The following is a 27,858-nucleotide window of genomic DNA, read 5'->3' on the forward strand; positions in this document are numbered from 1 at the left end:
TTTATGACATTAAAAAGCATTTAAGTGCTACAGACTTCTCTATTTAGGAAAGACAGACTGAAAACATGTTGAAGCGTACTATGGAGCTTTCAGTTAAGTTGATTATTTCCATCATGGTGATATGAGTTATCATACTGTTTGCCACATTTTGAAAGCTGTTTGACTCCTCAGAAGTATTAACAAATTAACAAATTCTTACTGAGCATTTACATTATGCTAGGTTCTTTAGATGTATATCAGGTTTATAGTCTAGTAAAGGATATAAAAAACTCATGCATATGATGTACCATTTTTGGTGCAAGCATATAAGTATTGCAGTGTTATATATTTATGTACTGACATGTAGGTGTTTTACATAAGCTACTACATTTAATCCTCATAACAACCTAGTCACGAAATTATTGTCATTCTTGTTATCCTATGCACATTAGTCCAAACAAGCAAACAAAAATTGTCATTCTCTTTTATAGATGAGAAAATTTACATTTTGAGAGATTAAGTGATTTACCATAAGTAACAAAGCCATGAAGTGATGAAGCCTGGGTCAGTCAGACTCTAAAGCTCTTTCCACTGTTTGTATATGAGTAGATTAAAGCATTTTATCATGATTATTTGACATCACAAATAGTGATGCCATGAGTGAAAAGGAGATAGGGATCCTAATCTTTAATCTATGCCAAGAACTGAGTGATTGAGCAAATCATTTAACATCGTCTGTAAAGTGTGAGGGTTGGACTAGGCAACCTTGGTTCATGATTCTATTCAGTGTAAGAGATTTTCACATATGGTCTATGGAAACAATTCTCATTACTTTAGTGTTTTTATTATATTTAGTTTCCATTACTCATCCTTCATAATGTGCTGTACATGTTGGATTGTGTGTGGTGGGGGGGGAGGGTGATAGAGTGCATATCATCTTCTAACATATTACATACAATATACATTTATTTATTAAGATTATTACTGTCTGTCATCTTCCTTCTTCCCTTCCCCCAAATATGTCACGAGGACCTAGACTAGAGCCTGGCTACATAGTATGCAGTTATAAACTAATTTTTTGAATGAATGAATAGGAATAATAGACTTGTATAGTACATTGGCAAAATATATAAGTAACTTCATAATTCTTAACACCAAAAGATTCCCTGGGGGCCAAAATTATTAATCTTTCTATTACAGTGATCCTTTAAGGAACTAAGTGTAAGAATCTTAAAAAGAAGAACACCTACGAAACAATCAAGTGTAGTCAAGTAATCTGAAGTTTGCTGGAATTCCCCCATACAAAATTATTGGTAGTATAGAACTTGCTAACCATAGGTTTGTTTACCCAGTGTTCTATTTGAAAGTAGTTTACTAAAGCATTCCATATAAGCAAAGAAAAAAAGCAGCAAAGTTTCTTTTTTGTTTATGTGTCACTGTATAGTCTCAAATGCTGTAAATTTACAGTGAGTAGAAAATATTCAGACCATTGAGTCTTTTGCTTAAAAGATATTTCGTAAGGTATAACATAACGTTTACTGGTAGTTTTGTTTCATTTAAACATTAGGCTTCTTGAGAGTTTTAACAGTTTTATTGAAATGTAATTGGTGTATAATAAACTGCCTATGGTTAGAGTATAATTTGATAGGTTTTGATGTATATACACGATTAGGAAACTATCACCACAATTGAGAAAATAAACATATTCACCCCAAAGGTTTCCTTGTGCATTTTCATAATTTCTCCGTCCCTCCACCCCTCCTCACCTATCCCCAGGTGTACCCATTGACTTGTCTTTGGTCCTTATAGAGTAGTTTGAATTTTCTTGCTTTCTTTCTTGTCATTATAGATTAATTTGCATGTCTTTTTGTAAGTGAACTCACATAGTTTGTGCTTTTCTTATGTGGTCTCTTTTACTCTGCATAATTATTTTGAGATTTGTCTGTATTCCTGTGTATCAGTAGTTCATTTCTTTTTATTGCTGAATGATATCCCATTGTGTGGATATACCACAGTTTATCCATTCAGCTGTTGATGGGCATTTGGGTTGTTTCAAGTTTTAGACTATTAGGAATAAGTTTGCTTTGGACATTCATGTACAAGTTTTTGTGTGTACATAAGCTTTCATCTCTTAGGTAAACACCCAGGAGTGGAATGGCTGGATTATATGGTAGGTATATATTTTAACTCTTTAAGAAATTGCCAGACTGTTTTTCCAGGTGACTGTATTGTGTTACATTCCCATTAGCAACATTCCAGTTGCTGCACAACTTCATTAATAGTTGGTTTTGTCAGTCTTTTTAATTTTAGCCATTTTACTGTGTGTGTGATGGTATCATATTGTAGTTTTTATTTGCATTTCATCTGATGACTAAAAATGTTTAACATATTTTCATGTGCCTGTTTTATCATCCATACTTCTTTTGTGGATTGTCTGTTCAAATCTTGTTTTTAATTGAGCTTTTAATTATTGGGTTGTAAGAGTTCCTTATATGTTTGGGATATAAGTGCTTTTATTTTTTTTTTATTTTATTTTATTTTGCGACAGAGTTTTGCTCTTGTTTCCCAGGCTGGAGTTCAATGGTGCAATCTTGGCTCACTACAGCCTCCTCCTCCTGAGTTCAAGCGATTCTCCTGCCTCAGCCTCCCAAGTAGCTGGGATTACAGGTGGCCACCACCATGCCTGGCTAATTTATTTCTAGTTTTAGTTTTAGTAGAGATGGAGTTTCATCATGTTAGCCAGGCTGGTTTCGAACTCCTGACCTCAAGTAATCTGCCTGCCTCAGCCTCCCAAGGTGCTAGGATTACAGGCATGAGCCACCATGCCCGGCCATAAGTCCTTTTAGGTATATGATTTAGAAATACTTTCTCCCAGCCTGTGGCTTGTATTTTCATTTTTTAGCATCCTCTTTCTCTCTTTAATACTTTTATTGAGATATAATTCACATTTCCTTGAGCAAAAGTTTTAAAGTTTGAATTCTAATTTATCATTTTTTCTTTCGTAGATTGTGCTTTTGCTATATCTAAGAAATATTTGCCTAACCCAAGGTCACACCTCTTTGCTTCTAGTTTTATAGTTTTGGGTTTTACTTTTAGGTCTGTGATACATTTTCAGGTAGTCTTTTATTTTTAATTTTTGTGGGTACCTAGTAAGTGTATGTATTTATGGATTACATCAGATATTTTGATATAGGCATGCAATGTGTAATAATCACATCAGGGTGGATGGGGTATCTTTCATCTCAAGCATTTATCTTTTGTGTTACAAACAATCCAGTTGTACTCTTTTAGTTATTTTTAATGTACAGTTAAACTATTTTTTACTATAATCACCCTCCACTACCCTTCCCAGCCTCTGATAATCATCCTTCTACTTTCTGTCTCCATGAGTTCAGTTGTTTTAATTTTTAGCTTCCACAAATGAGTGAGAACATGTGAAGTTTGTCTTTCTGTTGCTGGCTTATTTCACTTACCATAATGACGTCCATTTCCATCCATCTTGTTGCAAATGACAGGAACTCATTCTTTTTTATGGCTAAATAGTACTCCATTGTGTATATGTACCACATTTTCTTTATCCATTTGTTTGTTGATAGATACTTAGGTTGCTTCCAAATCTTGGCTATTGTGAATAATGCTGCAAAAAACATGGGAGTGCAGATAACCCTTCGATATCCAGGAGTGTCCTAAATCTAAGGATGTGTCATATTATTTTTTCTTTATTTTTTTCTCCTCCTGCTGTTCCGGGTCTCTACAGTGTCCCCTACTCCTTTGTTTTATTCGCACACCTGGGTAGTGCCTTTCCAATCAAAGGATAGTTGGGTCTGCATTTCAGGTCTGTGATCTTTATGTTTAGGGAAATCCGTTTCCTGGTCAAAGCCTACCAGACTTCCTTGGTATCACTCCAGAATTTAACAGATTTGGCAAGTATGTTTTTTAGTTAATGGTTTGAGATCATAATCATTTCCTTCATGCTCCTCCTGCCTTCTATTTTTGCTTTTAATATTGAGGAATGCTAATGGAATAGATTTGCTTTTGCTCTCTCCCATCTTTACCTGGAATTGAACACATATTTATTGAAGGAATGAGTGGTTTGCAGGAATGTTGCCATTCAGGTGGAGACATGTTTCTCTTTAAATATATAGCTGGCAAGTTGCCCATATGGCACATAGATATTAACTGAATTATCCACTGAGCTCTGGGATTAGGAGATACAGATTGTGTAGGATTGGGAGTTCTTTCTATTGGCTTATCTTTTCCTAAAACTATGTAACGGGATATGAATACCTTTCTACCTAAGTATCTTGTCATTATACTAGATCTAGTTTTCTGAGTCTCACTTGTGAAAGCTTTTGGTTAACTATTAATAAAAAACTGTACAAAGGGAAGATGATAATGGTTTCTCTTGTAAGGTGGTAGTCCAGGGGTTGAAAGCAAGGGTTCTAGTTAGACTGTGAGGTTTTGAATCTAAGCTCCCTCTTCTACTAGTTATATAACTTGTATATGTTACTTAACTTCTCAGAACCTCACATTTCTCTTCAATAAAACAAGGCTAAACATTTTACTTATAGAATTATTGTTAAAATTAAATGAATTAATGCATAAAAAGTACTTAAAGCAGATACTGTAAGTATGCAAGTAAAGCTACTCAAGTTTTAGCTATTATTGTAACCATTTTAATTGTTAATTATTGTTCTTATAGATAATGGATGATGTGTTTGAAGCTATCACCTAGCACAATTTCTGACTACCAAATGTAGTTTGAGGCTTTTGAGTGTTTTTCACCTAACCATTCTTCCCAAATGAATATTTTTCAGGGAAGCTAACCCCAGGAAATGTGACACAATTTACTGTATTGTTCCTTACCTCTATAATGTATGTTTATTCTAGCTGGTTCATCTCTTCCTTATATACAAGTTCCACAGAATGATTTTTTTCTAATAAGAATTAAGAAACCTTTGTTCTGATGATGAGCTTATTTAAATTTGGGTTTAATTTGATAGAAAATTAAGCTGTTTCCTTAATGGGGAATCTGGCCAATCACCATCCTCCACCCTCCCAGGGTAGAATTTTTTCCAGGAATTAAATAGCTCTATCTAGCAGGGTCTTCCTGCCTTTGGCAGTAGAGCAGTACAAAGGCCACATTGAGCATAGCTGCTGGGGAAACCCTTTTTCCTTCTCTAGCCTATAAATGCTGTTCTGTCTCTGTGAAAAGCCCTGACATCAGCTCTTGGAAAAATCCAAATACTTGTGTTAGAACAAGGCTGAAACACTTGCCTGGGCAGAGACTAATGGCTGAACTATAGTTCTAAGTTTACCAGATTGCCTCTCAGTATTGTTATGCTTTAAAAAACAAAACAAAAACTGTAAGTTTCAGACATAATCTAGAGAAATTAGGATAGAAAGGACAACTTAATAGCGCCTCCCATTCTTTGCTAGTTTCTTCTTATTTTTCTCTTTTTTCTAAAAATCTACCTTCAAGATAATGTGAAATTCTTGCTTGAGGAGTGAGGGAGAGAAATAATATATCAATATTATAAACTTTATGCAGTGTTTTCCACATATTAGATGCTGCATAAGTATTTGATGTTTGAGACAAAATAAACTGTAAACAGACTGTACTTAACTTCCTTAGTGTTCAAATTAGATCATGATGTAAAACTCTCCAGTGGTTTTCCATTATATTATGAATAAACTCTAAGCCTGTTTCTGTGGCTCACATTCTTACATTAGCTGGCCCCTGTCTACTTCTGTGGATCTCATTTCAGCACTACTTTACTACTCTCTTGGTCATTTTCTATGCTTAAGCCACAGCGGACTTTGTATTTCTCAAATACATTAATCTGCTTATCCTTTGTGACTCTTGTACTAGCTGTTTCCTTTACCTGTAATTCTGTGGCCCACATCTTCCCATGGCTGGCTCCTTCATTTAAGTCTCAGCTTAAATGCCTCTAAGGTCTTTTTTGAATAAACTAAATTAATGTATTTAGTCAAATAATATCTTTTTTTAATAGCACTTACCACGATTTGAAATTCTTTGGTACAATTATTTTTTTGTGGAGTTTATCTTCCTCCTGTGGAATGTAAGCTGCTTGAGAGCAAGGACCTTATCTGTTCATTAACGTAACCTCCAGTGTCTTGAACCTCCTGGCATAGGTTGGTGTTTGTGTAACTTTGTATGTACTTGGCTGCCTGTAACGGAAAACACAAGTCAAACTGACTTAAGCAGTAACGCATTTACTGGCTCACATAAAAAAGAAATCTAGACGTAGGCTTCAGAGATTTTTGATTTAGGGACGTAACTATGTCAAGGGCTCAGATGCTTTCCATCTTTACACTCTTGCCATCAAAATCATCCTCATCCTAAACTAGTCCTTAAAGATGAATGCGAAGTAGCTGTTAAGGCTGCTTGCTTCTTCACTCAGGTTCAGTGGGAGGGAGAGAAAGAAGTTTCACATCATTCTCTCAAGAATAAGGAAATACTTTCATAGATGCCACCAGTGAACTTTGTTTCTACTTTTATTGGCTTTTTTGGAACCAATTGCTTACCCAAGAATGGAATTACTGTTAGGCCAAAAAGGCCCATCACTGTTGCTACAGATGGGGTTGGCTTGACCTGAGTCATCTGGACTCTGAGAGGAATAGTAGATAACTGAATAAAATCGGAGTTCTCTTAAAAGGAAGGCTGTGGTTTCTGGGGTAACTTATATCCTCTGTAGTTCTCAATAAAAATGTATGGAATGAGTGAATTCATGTAGTAAAAATGTATTGAATTGTCAGGCGTATGCTCAGCACCATAATAGTTAAGTAGAATACAAAATCAAATAGAATGTGGTCCTTGCCTTCAAATAATTTAAAATCTAGTGAGAGAGCCAAATTAACGGAATATTAAAATTGTTTTAAAAATCAGTTGATTAAAATAATTTAAAAGATGAAAAAGAGAAAAGGGAAACAACAGATGAGACAAATAGCAAGATGATAGACTTAAATACATTAGTAATCACACTAAAGGTAAATGGTCCAAACACCCCAATTAAATGTATAGACTATCAGATTAGATGAAACAGCAAAGCCCAACTGTATGCTACAAGAAACACACCTTAAAATTAAAAATACACATTGTTTAAAAGTAAAAGGATGGAAGAAGATGTGCCCTGCTAATCTACATTAAAGGAAAACTAGACCACATTAATATCAGATAAAGTAGATTTAAGATTATAGAATATCAACAGGGATAAAAAAAGTAATTTCGTACTGATAAAAGGGTCAATTTAAAAAGAAGACATATCTAGGCATGTATACACCTAATGACAAAACATCAAAATTCATGTAACAAAAGCTGACATAACTGAAAGGACAAATAGACAAATCTACAAACATTGTCAGTTATTTCAGTATCCGTTTTTCAGTAATTGATCAAAGTAGATAAAGTAAGCAAGGATATAGAGTACTTAAACAATACTGTTGGCCAGTTTGATTTAATTACATTTTTGGAACATTCCAGCCAACAACCAAATACTTTTTTTTTTTTTCATGTTTGCAAGCAGACATGGGACATTTACCATGACAGACACAATTCTGGGCTGTGAAGTAAATTTCAATAAATTAAAAGGATTCAAGTCATACAAAGTATGTTTCCTGGTCACCATGGACTGAAATTAGAAATCAATAAAAGATCTCTGGAAAGTTTCCAAATATTGGAAAATAACACAATTCTTAGTCAAAGTGGAAATAAAAAAGGAAATGGCAAAGTATTTTGTATTGGATGAAAATGAAAACACAACATATCAGAATTTGTTGGTTGCCATTAAAGCATTACATAAAAACTTATAGCATTAAACACCTATTAGAAAAGAGAGAAGGTCTAAAATCAATGACATCAGCTTCTTTTTTTTTTTTAAGACAGGGTCTTACTCTGTTGCCCAGGCTCAAGGGCAGTGGTTTGATCACTACAGCCTCAACCTCCTGGGCTCAGGCTGTCCCCACCTTATCCTCCCAAGTAGCTGGGACTACAGGTGTGCCCCACTAATTTTTTTTAGTAGAGATGGGGTCTCACTGTGTTGCCCAGACTGGTCTCAAACTCCTGGGTTCAAGCAATCCTCCTGCCTCGGCCTCCCAAAGTACTGGGATTTCAGGTGTGAGCCACCGTACCTGACCAATTTCATTTTAAGCAACTAGAAAAAGAAGAGCAAATTAAAACCAAAGCAAGCAGAAGAAAAAAAAAATAGAGATGAAAGCAGGAATCACTGAAGCAGAAAACAGGAAAACAGTAGCGAACATTAACCCCAAATCTGGTTCTTTTGAGAAAATTAATAAAATTATTAAACCTCTAGCCAGCTGATCAGGATGAAAAGAGAGAAGACACACATTACTAATATCATAAATGAAAGAGGTGACATCATTACAGATTCTTCAGATATTAAAAAAAAATAGGGGAGGCTGGGTGCTGTGGCTCACGCCTGTAATCCCAGCACTTTGGGAAGCCGAGGTGGGCAGATCACTTGAGGCAAGGAGTTCAAGACCAGCCTGGCCAACATGGTGAGACCCCATCTTTACTAAAAATACAAACATCAGCCGGCATTGTGGCGCGAACCTGTAATCCCAGCTACCTGGGAGGCTGAGGGATGAGAATCGCTTGAGCCCAGGAGGTAGAGGTTGCAATGAGCTGAGATGGTGCCACTACACACCATCCTGCCCAACAGAGCAAGACTCTATCTCAAAAAAAAAAAAAAAAAAAAAAAAGATAAGGGAGCATTATGAATAGCTTTATGGCAATAAATTTAACAATTTAGATGGAATGTGGTTGGTAATTTTATAAATTCCAACAATATATATACAATATGTAAATATATATTACATATACATAAAACAGGAAAATACATAAAATATATATGCACTCTGTGTGTATGTATGTGTGTGTAATGACCGGGTAGGGTTTATCCCAGGAGTGCAAGATTGGTTCACCTTACAAAAATCAGGCAATGTAAGTAAATGGATGGTAAATGGTGGTAACTATGTTTCTCACTGTCTCAAAGGAGCTAAGCAAGAGAGAAGACTGGAATGAACCTGATGGAATTAGATTAGAATTAGAGATATCAGTATGAACTCATGCTGAGCTTAATATAGATACAGATATATGGATAGCTACAGAAAGAATTATAGATATGTTGTATTAGTCTCTTCTCACACTGCTAATGAAGACATATCCGAGACTGGGTAATTTATAAAGGAAAGAGGTTTAATTGACTCACAGTTCCACATGGCTTGGGAGGCCTCACAATCATGGCAGAAGGCAAGTGAGGAGCAAAGTCATGTCTTACATGGTAGCAGGCAAGGAGAGCTCGTGCAGGGGAACTCCCCTTTATATAACCATCAGATCTGGTGAGACTTATTCAATATCCCAAGAACAGCATGGGAAAAGACCCCCCCCCTTCATGATTCAATTACCTCCCACCAGGTCCCTCCCACACATGGGAATTATGGGAGCTACAATTCAAGATGAGATTTGGGTGGGGACACAGCCAAACCATATCATGTGTATGTATACCCCAGTTAGTATAACACATTCATTTCCCTGCTCTCTCTGCTGAGAGGGCCTAGAAATGGTGACATCTCAGTAGCAGTGAGCGCACCCAGCTCCTGGATCTTGGTTACTAAATATCACTCTCCAATAAAATAGCTCCTTGGAGAAATGGTTGACTCTAAGGCTGCAATAGGGAAAATGCAAGTTGAACCTAGAGTGCCTTATAGTGCCACAAACAAGAAAGTGCCCAAACAGAAGGGTGAGAGCATGTCAGTGGCATAAACGGGAAGAATTTGAGCAAGAGAATAAATAACGTAGTATTGGATTAGAACTCAAAGTCTAAAATAAACATACATGAGCCCATACTGATAAAAATGATTACATAAATACATGGGTGAGAAAACACAAATCTTCCTTACAGGAAAATTTCAAATAGTATACGTAGATTCCTATTCCCAGGAGATGGAGCTTAATCCTCTCAGATGCTAGTGTGGATTGGGCTTAGTGACTTCTTCAAAGAAAAAAATATGGCAAGGGAAAAATAATAACTTTACAGGGAGACGTCGAGCAACCACTCCCTTAACCAAATGACCAAAGTTAACATTACTAGTGTTAAGTCATATTGGTGTCATATATCCTCTGATGGGTGATGAAAAGGGTACTTCACCCCTGTGGTATTCCAAAAATAGACCCACGTATATATGGAAAACTGATTTTCAAAAGTGCAAAAGGCAATTCAGTTTCAACAAACGGTGCTGGAACAATTGGATTTCAATTGGATATCACACTCTATATAAAAATTATTACAAAATATATTGTAGACCTAAAAGTAAAATAGAAAGTCACTCAGCTCTTAGAAGAAAATGTAGGGGTAAATCTTTGTGATTTGGGGTTAGGCAAAGATTTCTTAGGTATGATACCATAAACATGGGCAGTGACCTAATTTCCAAATAAAGTCCCACAGGTATGGAAGTTAAGACTTCAGCATGTCTTTGGAGATAACACAATTCAACCTGCAACAAATATAATGGTTCCCAATTAGGACTGCTTTCATGTTTAATACAGAGAAACTGAGAATCTCTATATGAGTTTAGTGCTTTTCACATACTACCTAAGAAATGCATCTTCCACATTTACATTTAGTCTTCCAATGTGTTGGTGTTGTCATTAACAAAATACAAATTCTCCTAAAAATATTATGAATTGTAGCTTTGGGCATTTATTCAGTTTGTGGATAGTATAATAATTGCTATTATGTGTATCCCTGGGTTTTGTTTGTGTGTTTGTTTTCTACTTTCAACACAAATAGGGAGAGAGTCTCTCTCACCGATTTCGTGCCACACTTTGTCACTTGGGCATTAAAATAATTTTACCCTGGCCCTTTGTCTTACAAGGTCTGTTGCCAAAACAAGCTTCTTCAGCTTCTGCTGCTGTTTCCATAAAGATTTGACATGAGTTCATGGAATTGATCTCGGGGACGAGTGTGTCCTCTCTTTTCTGTTTACCTAGTACCCACAGAAACTCCTGTCATTTCTAGTCCAAACTCCCACCTGGATTCCTTACTATAAATGAATTCATCCCAAGGAAGAAATCAAGGGGGAGTATAGAACTTGGGTTACAAGGATATTTGTTATAACATTCTTTATTATGCTGAAAAATTAGACCCAGCCTAAATATTTACAAAAGGGAACTTCTTAATTAAATAGCCATATCACAGGATACTTTGCAGTTATCAAGAATTATTTAGAACTATGTTTTTTAAATCTTTATCTGATTTGGAAGTTCAATATATAGAATGAATAAAAAACAAAGCAGCTCTGATATGTGGGAAGTCTAGAGCCCCATCTACACACTCCCGCTCTGTGAGGGACCTCTTTTAAACCTCTAGAATTTTATAGAGCACAGTTTAAAACCAGCACTGTAGTGAAATATTTAATATGTAAACATATGTTGATATTTTATGAAGTTAAAGTTGTCAATATGTCCAGTATGCTTTAATTTTTATGAAAATAAATTTTAAACATTGTATACAGAAATCTATCTCTATTTTGGGAAAGAATGGGAATATATGCATAACAATGCTGGGTGTTGGGATTATGGGTGATTTTTGTTTACTATTTTGTCTTTAGTTTTTAAAAGTTTATACGTGTACTTCTTTGGACATAAAGAAAGTGAGACATTTCTTCATATTGAAAAGGCAGAGAGAACCATTGCTTTATAGGAAACTACAGTTTGGAAAAACGGCAGTCTCATTACTCAATCCCTTGAGAGAGGAATTATCTTGAAAATGTTATAAAAAATATTAGTAACAGATTTACTAGTGTCAGTGGTCTTGTGTGTTAAGTATATTAGGATAAGCCACATTTGTAACAGCTAACGGAGAAAACATAACTGAATGTCAGTGTTACACAGTGAACTTTGTAGAGCAGTGATTCCCAATTCTGAGATGTTGTAAGAGGAATGTCAGAATTCCTAAAACACTCATCCTCCAACCTTTCAAATTCAGTGCTGTGGTGAGCCATTGTTACTGATAAGGGTATATCCCACTTGTGATTTCTTTGTTTTGGGTCAAGAAAAGCTTTTGTAGAAGCCAGTGTAAAATGGCATGCATATAATTAATTTCCTCATCTTTTCCTCATAAAATCAGAGGTCCTTTTATCGATGGTGGTTTGAAAGTCTGGGGTATTCAGATTTGGCAGCAGAAAGTGTGTTTTTTTTGTGTGTGTGTGATAAACTAGGTGGATTGCTAATTCTGATTGAGGAATTCGTAATGTTTGACACCAGAACCAGAGCACTTGTGAAAAGAAGTCTCTTTAGTACAAAACCAAAAATTTAATTACAGCATTTGTTATAACTATAGCCAATAAAAGTATTTTTAATGAAAAAGAATTTCCGCAGAAGAAAATGCTTTCTATTAATGCAGAAGGTGTTATATAGAAGATTTAATTGTAATGATATTGGTTATGATCCGTTTTTTGTTTTATCTTTACCTGTATTTTATATTCGTATAACCTCTAAATTTTACAAATTACCCATAATACATTTCTTATATAATTAAAAAAATTCTGAGTACAGAACAGGAAATATGTTCAATCTTTATTCCATTAGAGTTCTACTTGGAAAGTATTAATATGTAAGGTTTTTATTTCTCCATAAGAAATAGACCTATATAGTCAGGCACAGTGTCTCATGCCTGTAATCCCAGTGCTTTGGGAGGCTGAGGCTTGAGGATTGCTTGAGGCCAGGAGTTTGAGACCAACCTGGGCAACACAGCAAGACCTGGTCTCTACAAAAAAATTCTTAAAAAATTTAGCTGGGTGTGGTGGCATGCTCCTGTGGTCCTACCTACTTAGGAGGCTAAGGTAGGAGGATTCCCTTGAGCCCAGGAGTTCGAGGTTACAGTGACCTATGATTGTGCCACTGCACTCCAGCCTGAGTGAGAGAGTGAGACATTGTCTCCAAAAAAAAAAAAAAAAAAAAAAAAAAAAAAGAAAAGAAAGATAAATAGATCTATGTCTAGTTAATTCGAGGAGATGGTACACATTTTTAGAGCACATGAGAACGAAGTTTATACTTTTCTGATTTTCTGGGTTTCCTTGATGATTTTTTGGCAAATCCTTGTCTGTTTAGCTGTCTGGCATATGTATGACTGTGGTTGGGCTTCTTTGTACTCAACCAATGAATGCATACCAACTGTAACACCTGAAGGTAGGATCATGAATAAATACTCTGTGATTTGGGGTTAGTATAGTTTTGGTTGTTTTCCCTTCTCCTGAGATTTCAGAAATAAAAGATTCCTATTCCTGTGATTTTTTTGGCACACAGTAAGACATATTTGATACATAAGATAAGTCATTATAATTAACTTGTCGAATCACTTTTTCTTGCTGCAGAATGATATTTTTATGAATGCCTTAGGTTTTTTCAATAAAAAATGCAACCAAACTGCAAATGTACTGTGATTTAAAGTGGTAATGTCAGAATTTAAATTTTGAGTAGTACTCTTTTTTTAAATCATAGAATGCTCTATGTTTATTCAAAAAAGTAAAATATTATTAGACAGTATTTTTTATTTTAATTTTGCATTTAAATAAAGTTCTCAAGCTCAGACTGAAAAGTAAACACTGTATGTTGGAGCCTGTCTCAACGACACTTAAAAGCTAAGACTTTCTACTTTTTCAGAAGTACATTTGTATCTTTTGGCAAATGTGTAGAAAGCAGCCTGTCCTAACAAATTTTGTTCACCTGTTCTCACTTCAGTTTATAGATTGTTAAACATTTAATCATAATATATTTTATATACAATATTTATGTGAAAAATGCCCATCCTTGATTAAGGGGATTTTTTTCTACTCTTATTTTTATTATTTTTACCAGTATATTCTGAAGTAGAGAAATGTGAAATGAGATGAAGATTTAAATTCCTAGCAAACAGAATCATGCATTGCCCCTGTTTTATAAGTAATGAGATCATTTTGTAGAGTCCAGTTTATTTACATTTGTTAAATGATATTAATATCTCTTCCATAAGCATGAATTTGGTGGTTTGCATGGTGTTCACTGAGGTGAGGATACTTGTTTAAGTATTTTGAGGATCTCATACTTTCCTAGCAGTTCTTTTTACTTGGTTTTCTGAAGTGAATATAGTCTTTAAAAAAAAGTATAAGGTACTAGTAATCAGATACTCATGATCACAAATGAAAGTGGTGGAGAAACCTTTTAAGGAATATTCACAAAAGTGATAATTTTCCAGATTGTCAATGAGGAAATGAAAGTCTCTAATAAGCTGTCACATTAATTGTGAGCTGCATTTCTCAGTCAGCAACAACTAATAGTCAATCTATAATAGCTCCAGCAGAGGGAATGAAAGTAATTTAGAAAAAAGTTTACTATTTGATTTGTCAAAGTGTGTCCAGGAAGTAAGAGAGCCTAACCAAGGGGCTGTTGTGCATGTAAGCTCTTCAGTAAAAGTGGTGGTGTACTAAGCTATATTTAAGAAGGTAATTTGAGATTTTATATTACATGCTAGTGAATCATTTTTGGATTTTGCACCAGAACTGAGCTCTTTGGTCCCTGCCTGTCTGTGGTTTGTGTTGCAAGGTCCAGAGGCTTAAAACAAAGAACACCATGGGAAATTCTCCATGAGTCATTCCGTCAGCTGTAGCTTCTGTTTTATAGTCCTTCGGATATAACTAGTGTTTTAATGCCAGCTCTCCTAGCCGCTTTTCATGCTTTGGTTCTATATGCTAATAAAAAAGTATGGCAGTATGGCTATTGTAGATAACGTTCAGACTTTTTTTTCTCCCGATTCCACAATTTTTAGTTCTTCTAATGGCTCTAAGCTAGACCAATTATAAATTGTAACTGGTGAAAAGATTTATGACTGTTTATTTTGTTGTAGTTGCGAGGTAAGCGAGTGGTCACTTAATACTTTTGGTTCTGTGAATCTTACTGTCCAGAGAACTAAAGATTGAATTAGCAGTTCAGCTGGAGTCAGCACTATGTGCTAAATCCCTATACTTAAGAGCTCTTATGTATTGCAGACAAATGTCCTCTTAGCTGTTTTGTTATTTTGTGAAAAATAATAATAATAGAGCAAGGCAGTTTAGATTCATATCAGTTTCAAATTTTAAGTACCATGTTTTAAGCCATTCTAATTGTTTTGTAGAAACAGATAAATTAAAAACTTGATTTAAATCCAGCCCACAGGATGCCTTAATCACCTTTGATATTTTAAAGGAGATGAGGAAATAATGGACTTTTTTGCTAGTAAGTGGCAGGTATGGTCAACACAATTTCACTACATTTGAAAAAAATCACTTTCCCTGCTTGCCAGGAAAATTTAAAGTGCAGATTGTAACCTGATCTTTTTTCTTACAGTGTAACGTCTGAGAAGTTCAAGTATTGACATGAATTTTCTATGATACCACTTGGTAAATTAAATCTGTGGTTTCATCACTGGCTTTGAATTATATATTTCTATGCATTTTACTTAGCTAAAAACTTATTTGAATATTTAGTCTTTAAATTTATTTTTTCTTTTCTGCTTATTTGAATACATATCACCAACATTCAGATTTTATTTTTGTTTTTCTTAATAGTAAATACATAAGTGGTTACTGCTTGCTAGGCAATGCTTCTTATTTTCTAATTTAATCCCCAAAACAAATTTGTGAGGTATAGGTAGATGTATTAGTAATTATGTTTTAGAGGAGATGCTTAAAGAGGTTAAGCAACTTGTTCAAGTTCAAATACCTGTTAAATTATGAAACTAGAATATTAACCCAGTTACATTTGTTTCTGAGGAGTCTTTTGCCCCCAAGGCCTTGAAATTTTAGGGAATTTTCATTTATAGCAATCAATAATACTATTCCCATCCCACCCTGTCCATTTCTGATTTTCAATAGTATAGTTTCTGCACTGATATTTACATCGTCTTACGATGGTTGAGCCTTAAAATTACCTGCATTGTTGTCTGATTTGCAATTCTTTGTCTAGTAACTCTTCTCACTGGAGTGGGTTCCAATAAAATGGTGCTGTATTTCACTCAAAATCAAGTTGCAGTGTTTTTTCCTCCTCATTTTAACATCACTAAAATCAGAGTGTATCTACTAATGGAATTCTTGATAATTCTAAATTTAATAGGTAACATTCTTTGACTGCTAATAAAATCTTAACCACTATCCAATGTAAGAAAAATTTGTTTAACCATCTCCCCTTCATTTCAACCATTCCTTATTAAGAAGAACCAACTACAGTCTCAAATGCTCCTTTATAACTAAGCCCAGGGAAGACATATCTAACACCCTAGAGGAGAGAGAAAAGGGTATGAATTAAGGTTTGAGTGTGATATCAGCATTTCTTCTCATATGGCTTCAGAACACTTCTCACTGAAGTATTGTCAAAAGGCTCTTTATGCACTGAAATCAATAAAAGAAAAAAACAATTTCTAGCAGGCTATTTATTATAAGCAAATATGTGACGACACAAAACTTTCTGGTCCTTTGCAATTTTTTAAGTCCAAAAGAAATTCTGTTTAACAATATTAAAGGACTATTCCAGTTACAAAATTGTGTGTTTGTGTATGCTTATTAGAATAATTAAACTTGGTTAAAATGTAAGTCTTACTCTAGTATACATTATTTATTGGGTAAGTGTTATTTAACTACCAAATCACATTTCCCTCTACACTGTAATAACACATCGGGAAGGGCCACCTAGGGCTTTAAAATTAGAACTCAGAATTTAACAAGGAAAAGGTATTCTGAGTTGAGTGAATAAATGTATTCTGAACGTTTAAGGCCTTTGGTTAAGATTTCTAAAATGTAGCTGTGCTTAATATACAAAATCAAAAGTAAAGGCAGGCCAGGCGCGGCGGCTCACACCTGTAATCCCAGCACTTTGGGAGGCCAAGGCAGGCTGATCACTTGAGGTCGGGAGTTCAAGATCAGCCTGGCCAACATGGCGAAACCCCGTCTCTACTAAAAATACAAAAATTAGCTGGGCATGGTGGCACGCAGCTGTAACCCCAGCTACTCGGGAGGCTGAGGCAGGAGAAGTGTTTGAACCCGGGAGGTGGAGGTTACAGTGAGCTGAGATTTCACCACTGCACTCCAGCCTGGGTGACAAAGCGAGACTTAATCGAAAAAAGAAAAGGAAAAAAAAAAAAGGCATCTAGCCACCATATCCCAGTGATTCAAATTCCTGATAATTCTTTGCTTTATTAATCATCGTTCTTCATTTTGGAATTTGACTTTTTTGCTATCTGTTAATAGAAAAATACACACACACACATATAAGTAAACACAGTATATTCATTGTTGACCAAGTGTCCAAGTTATCAATATGATATTTTCAAAAACCAGGCACAGTTTCATTAGGCACCTGTAACATTATGTCATAGTCACATACAGCTGTTCTACATAATATCGATCCAAAAGATATTGTCATGATTTCATGATTAGACTACACAGTGGACAGGGACTTAAAAATATAGGAGTTTTGTTCACCAGAATGTATTTCATCAGACTAATGGTTGAACTGATTTGTTGCTTATGACCTGGCCACTTTGTAGCTTTCAGACCTGCCTTTCTGTAGCAGTTGATAGTATGGATTATCTGATCTTCCTTCCCTTCTGGGACAGGCTTTTCTCTTTTCTAATTCATTTTCTTAATCTCCTACCTCCATTCTCAATCATGCAGATGCTAGTTTCTCCCCCATATTTGAGCCTGAGCATTTTTTCAAGTTTCCTTGGTGTTTTACATTTCAGTGACCATCAGTAGGTTGATAACTCAAATCTGCAACTTTAGCCCCAGGCTTTCTTTGAGGTTCTAGCTTTCTATTTCCAGCTCTCTGATTACATCTGTCTCAATATTCAGCATGTGGTAGGGATTTTGCAAAACTATGGGATTATCTTGGTGACTTTCCTAGCTGAAGCAGAGAGAACTAATGAAATAGCCAAGAAGGTTCTTGACATTGTTACTTATGCATATAAGCATATATATACACACATATGTACACATATATTTATTTGCTTTAGCAGATACTTTAAAGTAGAATTCAATGATTAGAGAAAAAATTATGATTTTAATATTATTTGAGACGTTCTTAATCTATACTTGAAGTAGTAAGTAGATTATGATAAGCAAGTTGGACTGTGGGCGTGGTCCTTGTTCATTTTCTCATTCCGTTTTTGTCCCCATTTTTCCTCTCCTTTTTCATTACCTTGTAAGAGAAAATAGCTCAGGAAACGGGTTTACAATCAGTAGTCTGGGAACTTCCGGGATTCTTTACCAGCATCCCCCTGGATGTTGCAGTCCCTGACGCAAGCAGCATTGTTTTAGGGTAGGAGTTTTTATAATGGCTGTGAGGTCGAGTGCCTAAGGTTGATAAATGGCAGTTGTTATCCTTTGCAGAAACTCAGTTGGAATCCTTTCTGTCAACTTGTATGTTCATCTGTAAATTAAGAAACATGTTCCCATTCCCTCCCTCTCCTACCTCAACAGTTATGGACAGACTGCTTAGGAACTCCTATTTCTGAAGATTTCGTGGTCTTTTGTAAAGTCAGTTTGTTCTCTAGAGCAGTGTCATCTTGTCCCAGAACCCCCTTTACTTACTACCACTACTTCTTTGTAAGTTAACATGCTATCACTGATTAGGAAAGGTTTTAGATTCTTAGTCTTTTTCTATGGATCAATTTTGGTTTAAATAGGTGTCGAAGGGAATTGTAAGTCAGCTTGTATTTTGGAGGTTTTGTTTCTACCTCCATGCCAAATGAAATGTAGTCATTGAAGTATCATTGTATTATGTTTATTTCTGTCTTTACTAATAGGCTTTTTTAAAACCCTAGTTTTACTGATGTTCTTAATAAAGTACGGTTCCTATTACTAAATAATCTTTACATAAAATGCCATAGGTTGAAATAATTTAAAAGACAGAAATCAAAATGTAGGATGATATTTGAGAAGACTTAGATTAGCATTTATATATAGCATCAAACGCTTATCAAGAAGCTTCCGGCAGTATTCATTTAAAAGAGAGAGAACCAGGAGGAAATGCTGTAGTTCTTTCAGCTTATAGGACCCCCCCAGAAAAACAAAACAGGAAAGTGCCCTTTGTTTTCTACTTTTGGAAGGTATTTTTTGTAACCGATAATTACTTTAATGTTAATTTTTTTCTAGATAATCTGTTATTAAATCTAAACCTAATAATTGAGGATCACGATGACATAGATCAATAGTGCAGTAATCAACACCCAGATATTTTGGGAAGTAGTGTGAAGTGATGGGAAGGAAGGAACTTTCCCTTCTAGGAAAACAGTGAGAATAATATTTTAATGGCAAAATATTTCTTTTTGTCTTGATTTTTAAAAATCTATAAAATGGAAAGTATATCTCTTCATAGAGATTTCTTTTTTTCAAGATTAAACGAGATAATACATGTGGAAATAATGCATAGCATTTGGTAAGCCCTTTATAAATTTAGCAATTGCTCTTATTATTGGGATTTTTAAAAAGAAAAGCTATATTCTAGGACAGCTGATGGTAAATGCACTGGCAGTTTAAGATTTAACAAAGTAGTTAAGATACTTAAACATGGTGTTCAACTTCTTATTCCTCCAGCTTATTGATTCTTGCTATTGGAAAGTTACCATAAGATTTAAATCTCTTATTCTGGTTCAGTAGGATGAATAAATTTAGTAACAAAATCTTACAAGTAAAGTAACTACATCTATCCTTATTTTTTCTTTGTTTCAGGTTTCCCCTCAAAAAACCTATAAGGTAAGTTTGCTCAATTACACTTCATACTCAAGTTTAGGTTATATTTTAATTATAAGCATCCCTTTGAAATTATGGTGGATTTTTGTGGTTTTTGAGAATGTGTATTCAAGTAATTCAAAATTTCAAAATGTTTTACAAATTTAAAATGTAAAAGATGTTACTTTTTCTGGAAGACAGCATTGTTTTGATAATACTTCTAATATAAGCATTTAAAAATTTTGTTCAAAAGGATATTTAAGGTCACACTGAAGAGACTTAATTTTGAAGTCTATTTGTGACTGTTTTGAATTATGAGTAGCTTAGGAGGTGAAAATAGAATGCTAGTTTTTGATGTGTTTTATCACTTGTGTGACTATAATTGCCTTTAGTTAATGTACTTTGGTACTAGTTTAGTCTTAATTACTTTATTTTTTATTTTATTTTATTTTATTTTTTGAGATGGGATCTCACTCTGTTGCCCAGCCTGGAGTGCAGTGGCGCGATCTCAGCTCACTGCAAGCACCGCCTCCCGGGTTCACACCATTCTCCTGCCTCAGCCTCCCGAGTAGCTGGGACTACAGGCGCCCGCCACCACGCCTGGCTAATTTTTTGTATTTTTAGTAGAGACGGAGTTTCACTGTGTTAGCCAGGATGGTCTGGATCTCCTGACCTCGTGATTCGCCCGCCTCAGGCTCCGAAAGTGCTGGGATTACAGGCGTAAGCCACTGCACCCAGCCTAGTCTTAATTACTTTAAGACAGTGAAGAAAAAAATCCAAAATGTTAAAATGTATCTATGCCTATATCCATGTCTATATATTTATTCATTTCCAGGTCTTAAATGCCTCTTCCTCAGTATTTTTGCTTTCAGCATTTCTTCTGTTATCTTATCATAAATATTATTTAAAATGTAGGTAGTATGTCATTCCTAATTATTATATTTTATCATTTTTAGTGTCAGCATAGTCCAGGATCCAATGCTAACCTTGGCATTTCAGTGAATATGTGTATGTGTACATATGTATTATTGTTATGGTCTTGTCACCCAACCATTATCTGATCAGTGTAATTGGCTAAGCCATAGAAGTAATAATAATAATAATGTCATTGGTCCTTAAAGTGGTTGGCTAAGACTTCTGTGGCTAGAACTACATCAGCAGGCTTAAAATGAGGCTTGCCTAAGGCTGCTTTTTAAATGTTAAACCGTTCTCATGCATGCTCTATTTATGCAGTGATTTTGAACTTGATCATAGTATATGTAGAGTTGGAGAATGGGTTTAATTCCTTTTAGGCACTGTGTTTTTTTTGTCTGTTAAATGGAAATGATAGTATTGACCTGTGAAAACCACACAAAAAAAATGTAAGCAGTTACTTCTGAGAATAAAAGAGACTTTAATGCTGAATACTATTTTTAATTATTTTAAGCAGTTTTTATAATCAAGTAAATAGACTGTGTATAACCAAAACTTATTGAAAAATGTAAATTAGAGAGGCTTATGGTGCTGTGTAAAGTAAACTGATTTCCTGGTTTTTCTTGTAAGATCCACTTTTAGAATTTTAAATTTTTTATTCTAATGATTTTCTTGCACTAAGCATTTGATTACTTTGCTTTAATTTAGGCATGGAAGTATTTTGAACCGAGAGTCACCAACAGATAAGAAGCAGAAAGTTGAGCGCATTGCATCACATGATTTTGACCCCACAGGTAAAACACTATTCATTCTTTCAAAGAGTATTGAGAGTAGTGAAGTTCAGAATAATAGAGCTTAAGCTACCCGAAACACTCAGGAATAGTTGTTTGATCTGTTTTAGGACTCTCACATTCCTCCAATTATATCATAATAAAGCCTTTGCATTTAGTAGGAATGCAAGCATTTTTAACTTCCAACACTGTACATTCCACTACAGAAGTATCATTGTAGAGTATATTGTATCTTTAAATAGTGATAATAATAGAAATGGTTATATAATAATTGGAGATTTGGTCAGATCAAGAACTCAGTGTTAAGTTGAATCATGGTATAAGCAGTAATATGTCATAAAACCAAGGCTCTAACAACTCGACACTTGCGTAGTCATCTAAAAATTCAATTGTGATTATGGTGAATTGGAGTTTTAGATAAATCAGTTTCACAAATTAATGATGGTCTCATTTTAGAGTAAACAAATGAATAGAAATCCCTTTCTCTTCAGTCAAAAAGTATTCTGAACTTAAAGAGCTGTCTTTCAACCTAAGCAGTGTCGATCTTTCCTAGGGTTGTCACCTTAACAGACTTTCAGATTGATCTCCTTTTAAAACATCTAGGCTTTTTCCTTTTGCTTTCTCCTTGTAAGCTTACTCCATATTTGATTCATAGAAAGTGCTTGGTAATCTTGCTTTTTTCATTTGAAACTGATATATATTTTTTGTGCACATACTATTTTATTCAGTTGCCTGTCCCTTTGACAAGAGACGAAGTAAATCCCGCTATCTCAGATACATAAAAATAATGTATCTATTTTTAGGTATTTTTACTTAGAAATATAATTTTAAATATTTAATAGAGAATAGTATGTTTTATTTATCTAAGACATTTCATACTTTATTAGTATAAACTCCTTTATTTTGAAAAAATATTATAAATATTATCTAGGAAGCACATAGATAATCATTTTCTGCATTTTGGGTAGTAGGTAAAATGAAATTCCAATCATCAATTTAGGAGGCTTTGGTGGTGGGACTATGTATTATGTCACTTACAGATCTCCATGAAGAGAGAATTTTCCATTCTGATGCCTAATTTTGTAGTCATGGGGCTCAGAGGCTTTCATTTACATGATTAGGTATTGTCTTGCCAATAAGGTCAAAAGTTTCTGCCCTATGTTCAGAAAAATATAATCTTGTTAGGTTTATTTTGTATCTACATCTGTGCTGTGCCCATCTCCAAAGACAGATTTAAGCAAAGATGTATACAATGCTTCATAATGAGATCATTATAGCTTTTAGTGCTTTTGTCATCTCTACAATTATCAGGTGATATATTTTGTATACTATTCATGTGTTGTTTTGTTTGAACATATTTTTATTGCACTGTCTTTTCTTCGATAAATCTTTAAAATATGTCATTACCTGTGCTGTTTGTGACTATTCTAAGTGCTGTCATCTGTTATGTTCATACTTTGTGTTTGCACGATTTAACTTGATCATGATTCATTCTTTTTTCCCCATGAATTTTTCCCCTTACATTGTCTCCATATTTTCTATATCTCTCTCCTTTTCTCCCGCTCTTGTGCAGATAGCTCCTCCAAGAAGACAAAGTCTAGTTCAGAGGAGAGTAGATCCGAGATATATGGTAAGCTAATGTAGCTAATTCAGCCTTGCCCTTTGGAGCTTGCTTCATGGTGTTCCTTTTCTGTTCTTTTTTTCCTTTCTTTCTTTCTTTTTAAATAACTGCAGCCTTTCTTGTGTCTGCTGTGCATGGCATGATCTACTGCAGGGAAAGGGAGCCTGGGGTTTTAACGTGGCTGTGATGTGGAAGCTTAAGGTTGCTAGAAACTAACATTGTAGATTAAGAGTAGGCCACATTGCCCATCTTCTCCCGTCTTGTTTATGGTAGGAAGGTGATTATCTCTAATATGTTTGGGTCAGGTTCCTCCAAATAACATGAATGGGCTTTGAATTCTTGTCATCTTCTTCCCACATCTCATTTGCAGAGTTTGGATTATGAAGAATTTGAGGAATTAAGTCTTTTCCTCTAAGTATAATACTGGTGTAATTTAGACGTATTAGCAGTTCTTTGGAATTTTTATTTCATTTTTTGTTTGTTTATTTTTAATTGCCTCGTCATGTGGAAAAGTCATTCTTGTATAATTTATCCACGATGGCAAAAATACGTAAGTATTTTATCTTCATAGCTTGAAGAATTTGTGCCTTTGAGAAGTTTCTCTGAAGCTTAATCGGAATGGGAAAATTTCAGAATGGTACCTTTTAAATAATCTTAACAAAGAGCAAGTTTAACCTGAGTGGTCAACTTTTGCAGCAGATGATTGAAATGCTAATATTTCTAGACTGTGTCCTGTCTTCCAAAGATACAATAACCATGTTTGTGAAGTTCATACCTATTTTTCCTTTTCCTTTGCAGTTTTATTTGCCCTCTTTCCTTCTTTTGGAGTCTGATTAGGGTTTTGTTTTGGGGTTTTTTTTTTTTTGGTTTTTTGTTTTTTGAGAAAAGTGAATAAGAGAGGAATTACCTGGAGCTAAGATTTTAAAAATAATTTCTGAAAGACTGATAAATTATTTCTTTTTTTAGGAAGATTCCAAATTTGGCCTCGAAGGGAAATCAGGTCATCTTTAATAGAGCCACAAATCTATAGAGCAGAAGCTCCCCCAGGTGCAGATAGATGTTTCCTAGCTTGATATATAGGAGAGGAAAAAATACAGGAATTGCCCTCCCCTTTTTAAGACATTTGATAATTCACATCTGCTGGCACTTGAGCCCATATCAGATACTTTTTAGTATTATGAAAGCTCAGTGTTTGGTTCTAAACCAGTTAATTCTTCTATGTTAGATATATACACATAGTTCTTTACTTGGGTTTTTGTGACCAGTGCTTTTTCTGTGTATACCTTTTACAGTAGTTCAGCAGTAAATGTATACTGTGCCTTGTGACACATCAAGTTTACGCTTTTTCTTCCTTCCAGAGTATTTTGGCTACTGATAAGTAAGAACTACCTAATTCCTGGAGACTATATTTCTGTTCTATATAAAGAGCTTTCTATAGTTTATCCTCTCCTTAGGAACATGAACATTATCTTTATAGCTCTATTCTTTTTCGGTAGCCTTTGCAGTGTTCTATTTCGTCTTCCTCTCCATTTTCCTAGATCTGCGATGTGTATTTAGAAGCTTGTTGTATGCTTTGGATGAAGACTAACAATTTAGGAACCTCTGACTAGAAATACTATACTAATATTTTTCTTAGCAGTGATAGAAACATTAATACTAGTTCAGGCATGCCATTGGCTTGGTAGTGATAGAAACATTTTAAGTGGTAATTGGGAAGTAAGGTGTGGCTTCTCTGTGTGTTTGTTTTTTGAGAACCCTTGAAATACCTTTTTTGGAAGGAACTGAGTCCACAAGTCCTCAAAAAGCACTCATCGGAGGGATGAGTTGATTAGAACAGAATTAGCATGCTAACGTAAATCTCTTTGACATTACAAATATTTTATCACCTGTGTGAATAGACGTCTTTAGATTACGTACAGTTAGCATAGATGAAAAAGTCTCTCTGGGGATTCAGAAAAGCTTGAAACTACTGAGTAGAATCATAGCAACTGGTGACATTCTGCTTTAGTGTAGGGTCTTATTATAAGCCCACTTCAAACTTTAGAGATTATACATTGCTTTCTCGGGGTAAAATTCATTAGCTGAGTACTTAACAAAAATGCTAGTTACTCACATATTATTTATTTTAAACTTTCTTGGCTTTTTTTTTTTTTTTTTTTTTTTTTTGAGACAAGATCTCGCTGTGTGGCCCAGGATGGAGTATAATGGCGGGATCATGACTCACTGCAGCCTCAACCTCCTGGGCTCAAGTGATCCTCCTACCTAAGACTCCAAAGTAGCTGGGACTACAGGTGCACACCACTGCACCCAGCTGTTTTGTTTGTTTGTTTGTTTTTTTAATAGAGATGAGGTTGTTGAAGGAATGATTTGCCAGGGGAAAAAAAAAAAAGAAAGAAATAGTAGAGACAAAGTCTCGCCATGTTGCCCAGGCTGATCTCTGTCTCCTGAGCTCAAGCAGTCCTCCCAAAATGCTGGGATTAAAGGCATAAGCCACCGCACCTGGCTTCTTAGCCATTTTTAGAGCTACTTTGTGAACTAGATTTACTTTGTGCATCTTAAAAGGAAACCAAGTGTTTGCTTTGTATTGACTTTTTTTGTTACATTTCTGCCCAGTGCGGTCAGTTGGTTATTTATTCCATTTCCCCTTATTTGTCCCTTTCTACCTGTTAGAGTCTATTAAACGTGTATGGATGCGTTTTCTGATCTACAATTTTAATAATACTTAATTTTATTAATACTTTTGTGGGTTACTGTAGGAAATGAGAGATTCAGCAAGGGAATTCTGAGTTAGACCATAGCTGCTGCTTAACCGCTGTCATGGTGTCTGAACAGATTCCTGCTAACAGTATTTGGTTCAAGAAAATAAGTTATGTCTTTTTAAAGCTGTCTTAGTGTGTTCAGGCCACTGTAACAAAATACCATAGACTGCTTGGTTTAAGCAATAGAAACTTATTTTCTCACAGTTCTGGAGGTTAGAAGATCAAGATCAGGATGTCAGTGTGATCAGGTCAGAAGATTCCCTTGCTGGCTTGCAGATGGCTGCCTTCTTGCTGTTTGTCTCACATGGCCTTTCCTCCGTGTTTGCCAATGCCCTTTCTTTAGTTTCTATGATATTACATCAACCTGGTTCTTTATTCTTTGTAATTATTTTGTCTCTCTTTATTTGATTGTTTTTTCCCTCCTGTTTTATACATGTAGGCATGACCCAAGTTTCTGTCCCCAATCTTTCTTCCAGTCTCCAGTCTAAGTGTCCCATAAATTCAGAGTGACCAAACTGGAGTTCATCATTGTTCTCTACAGCTGGAAATCAGTCTTCCTCTTTATTTCCCTAATTCTTATAATGACACTGTCATTTTTCCACTCACCTAGTCTTATATTTCCTTAAAGTTATATTTGACTTCTCCATTTTCCGTCGTCCCCTGTGGTCAGCTATTTGCCAGGTCCCCTTGATTCTACCATCACAATATTTTTCATCCTTCACTCTTTGGTTTCAACCCCACTGCCTTGTCCATCATTTTATTAGACTATTATAATAGATTCGTAACTTACTTTTATTTCAGTTTCACATTGATTCATTAACTTTTCTCCATTCTATATTCTGCCTTGACTTGTCAGATTAATATTACTAAAGTAAGAATTTGGTCATTCACTTGCTAAGAAAGTACAGGTAGTTATTAAGATAATGCCACAATTTGTTTCCAATTTATTCTACTCTGATTCTCCTTCAGCGTTTCATTTTCCAAAACATGTTTTGGCATTCTTCCTTTGCACATGCCATTTCTGTTGTCTTGAGTGAATTACCACCTATAACTTAGAATCCTACTCATCTTTCAAGGCTTAATTCAAGTACTGCCTTTTCCTAGGATTGCCCAGCTACTTTTGTTGTTTCTGAATGTTGACATCTGTTTTGTATTTAATTACTTATATTTATGTTTATCTTTACATCTCCCATAATGCTGAACATATTGGAGACACTCATTAAGTGAGTTTTGAATGAATGATTGTTGAGATTGACATAGGAAGTATTTTAGTAGAGAAAATTGATGGAATAAGATCTTCACTCATCCTAATTGAATCTTTCTTTCCTTCTGAAAAACTTGAAGATAGAAGAAAATGTAACTTGGAGACATTTTTCTGGTAGTGGTCTGAAAGAATGAAATCAGCATACTTGGAATTTAAGGCTCTTCTTGCTGGCAAGACTGTGCATTTAGAATCAAGAAGCTTCTTAATCAAAGGATTATCTGAGGTCTTACTCATAAAACATGTATGTCTGGCACCAGTTTAAAATGAGCTGTTTTTATGAGGTTGCACATGGCCCTTCTCCACTCCCTTCCCTGAAGCTGATTCTTAAGAGCTGAAACCTAGAGAAGTTTGGTCATGAAATAAAATAAAAGGTGAAGAAAGACTAATGTGCTTTCACTAAAGTCAATGTAATATGGAAGATTTAACAGGTTATCTTACATGTTTAACACTCCATTTTCATTAATATGCCCCACACCCTATTTTCATTATAGGAGTTATGGCCTTCTTTCAGGAACAGTTATAGAATGACACTTCATTTTTTTTTCACTTTCAAAATATGATCATTGGTAATTATCTATTGAGTAAGAAGGAAGCAGTCTTTTTATGTTGGTTTTAAGTGCCACATTGTAATAACAGAAAAAATATGTCTTTTGTTATGATAAGGAAATAAAAGAAATGGATAGTATTTATGTAAATTTGATATAACATCTTTACTTCACTGATGAGATGAAGCATGATATCAGGTTTATCAGC

The 27,858-nt window shown here is 34.9% G+C and overlaps 1 protein-coding gene across 19 annotated transcripts in view; it reads left to right on the top strand.

Moving 5' to 3' along the window:
- Nucleotides 1-27,858, top strand: part of ARHGEF12 (Rho guanine nucleotide exchange factor 12) — a 153,525-nt gene that overhangs the window by 49,947 nt on the left and 75,720 nt on the right. For 8 of the 19 annotated variants that reach the window (NM_015313.3, XM_006718805.4, XM_047426659.1 and 5 more), the window contains exons 2-4: nucleotides 19,759-19,782; nucleotides 21,379-21,464; nucleotides 23,035-23,091. The exons of 1 other annotated variant lie outside the window; for it this stretch is intronic. In NM_015313.3, the coding sequence (NP_056128.1) occupies nucleotides 19,759-19,782; nucleotides 21,379-21,464; nucleotides 23,035-23,091 (167 nt within the window). Of the gene's footprint in view, nucleotides 1-2,119; nucleotides 2,150-19,758; nucleotides 19,783-21,378; nucleotides 21,465-23,034; nucleotides 23,092-27,858 lie in introns of those variants that run through there. 10 more of the 19 variants (NM_001198665.2, XM_047426660.1, XM_017017420.2 and 7 more) reach the window with 3 other exon arrangements.

The sequence above is a fragment of the Homo sapiens genome, chromosome 11, assembly GCF_000001405.40.
Source record: "Homo sapiens chromosome 11, GRCh38.p14 Primary Assembly".
In the NCBI taxonomy this organism is placed as follows: Eukaryota; Metazoa; Chordata; class Mammalia; order Primates; family Hominidae; genus Homo; species Homo sapiens.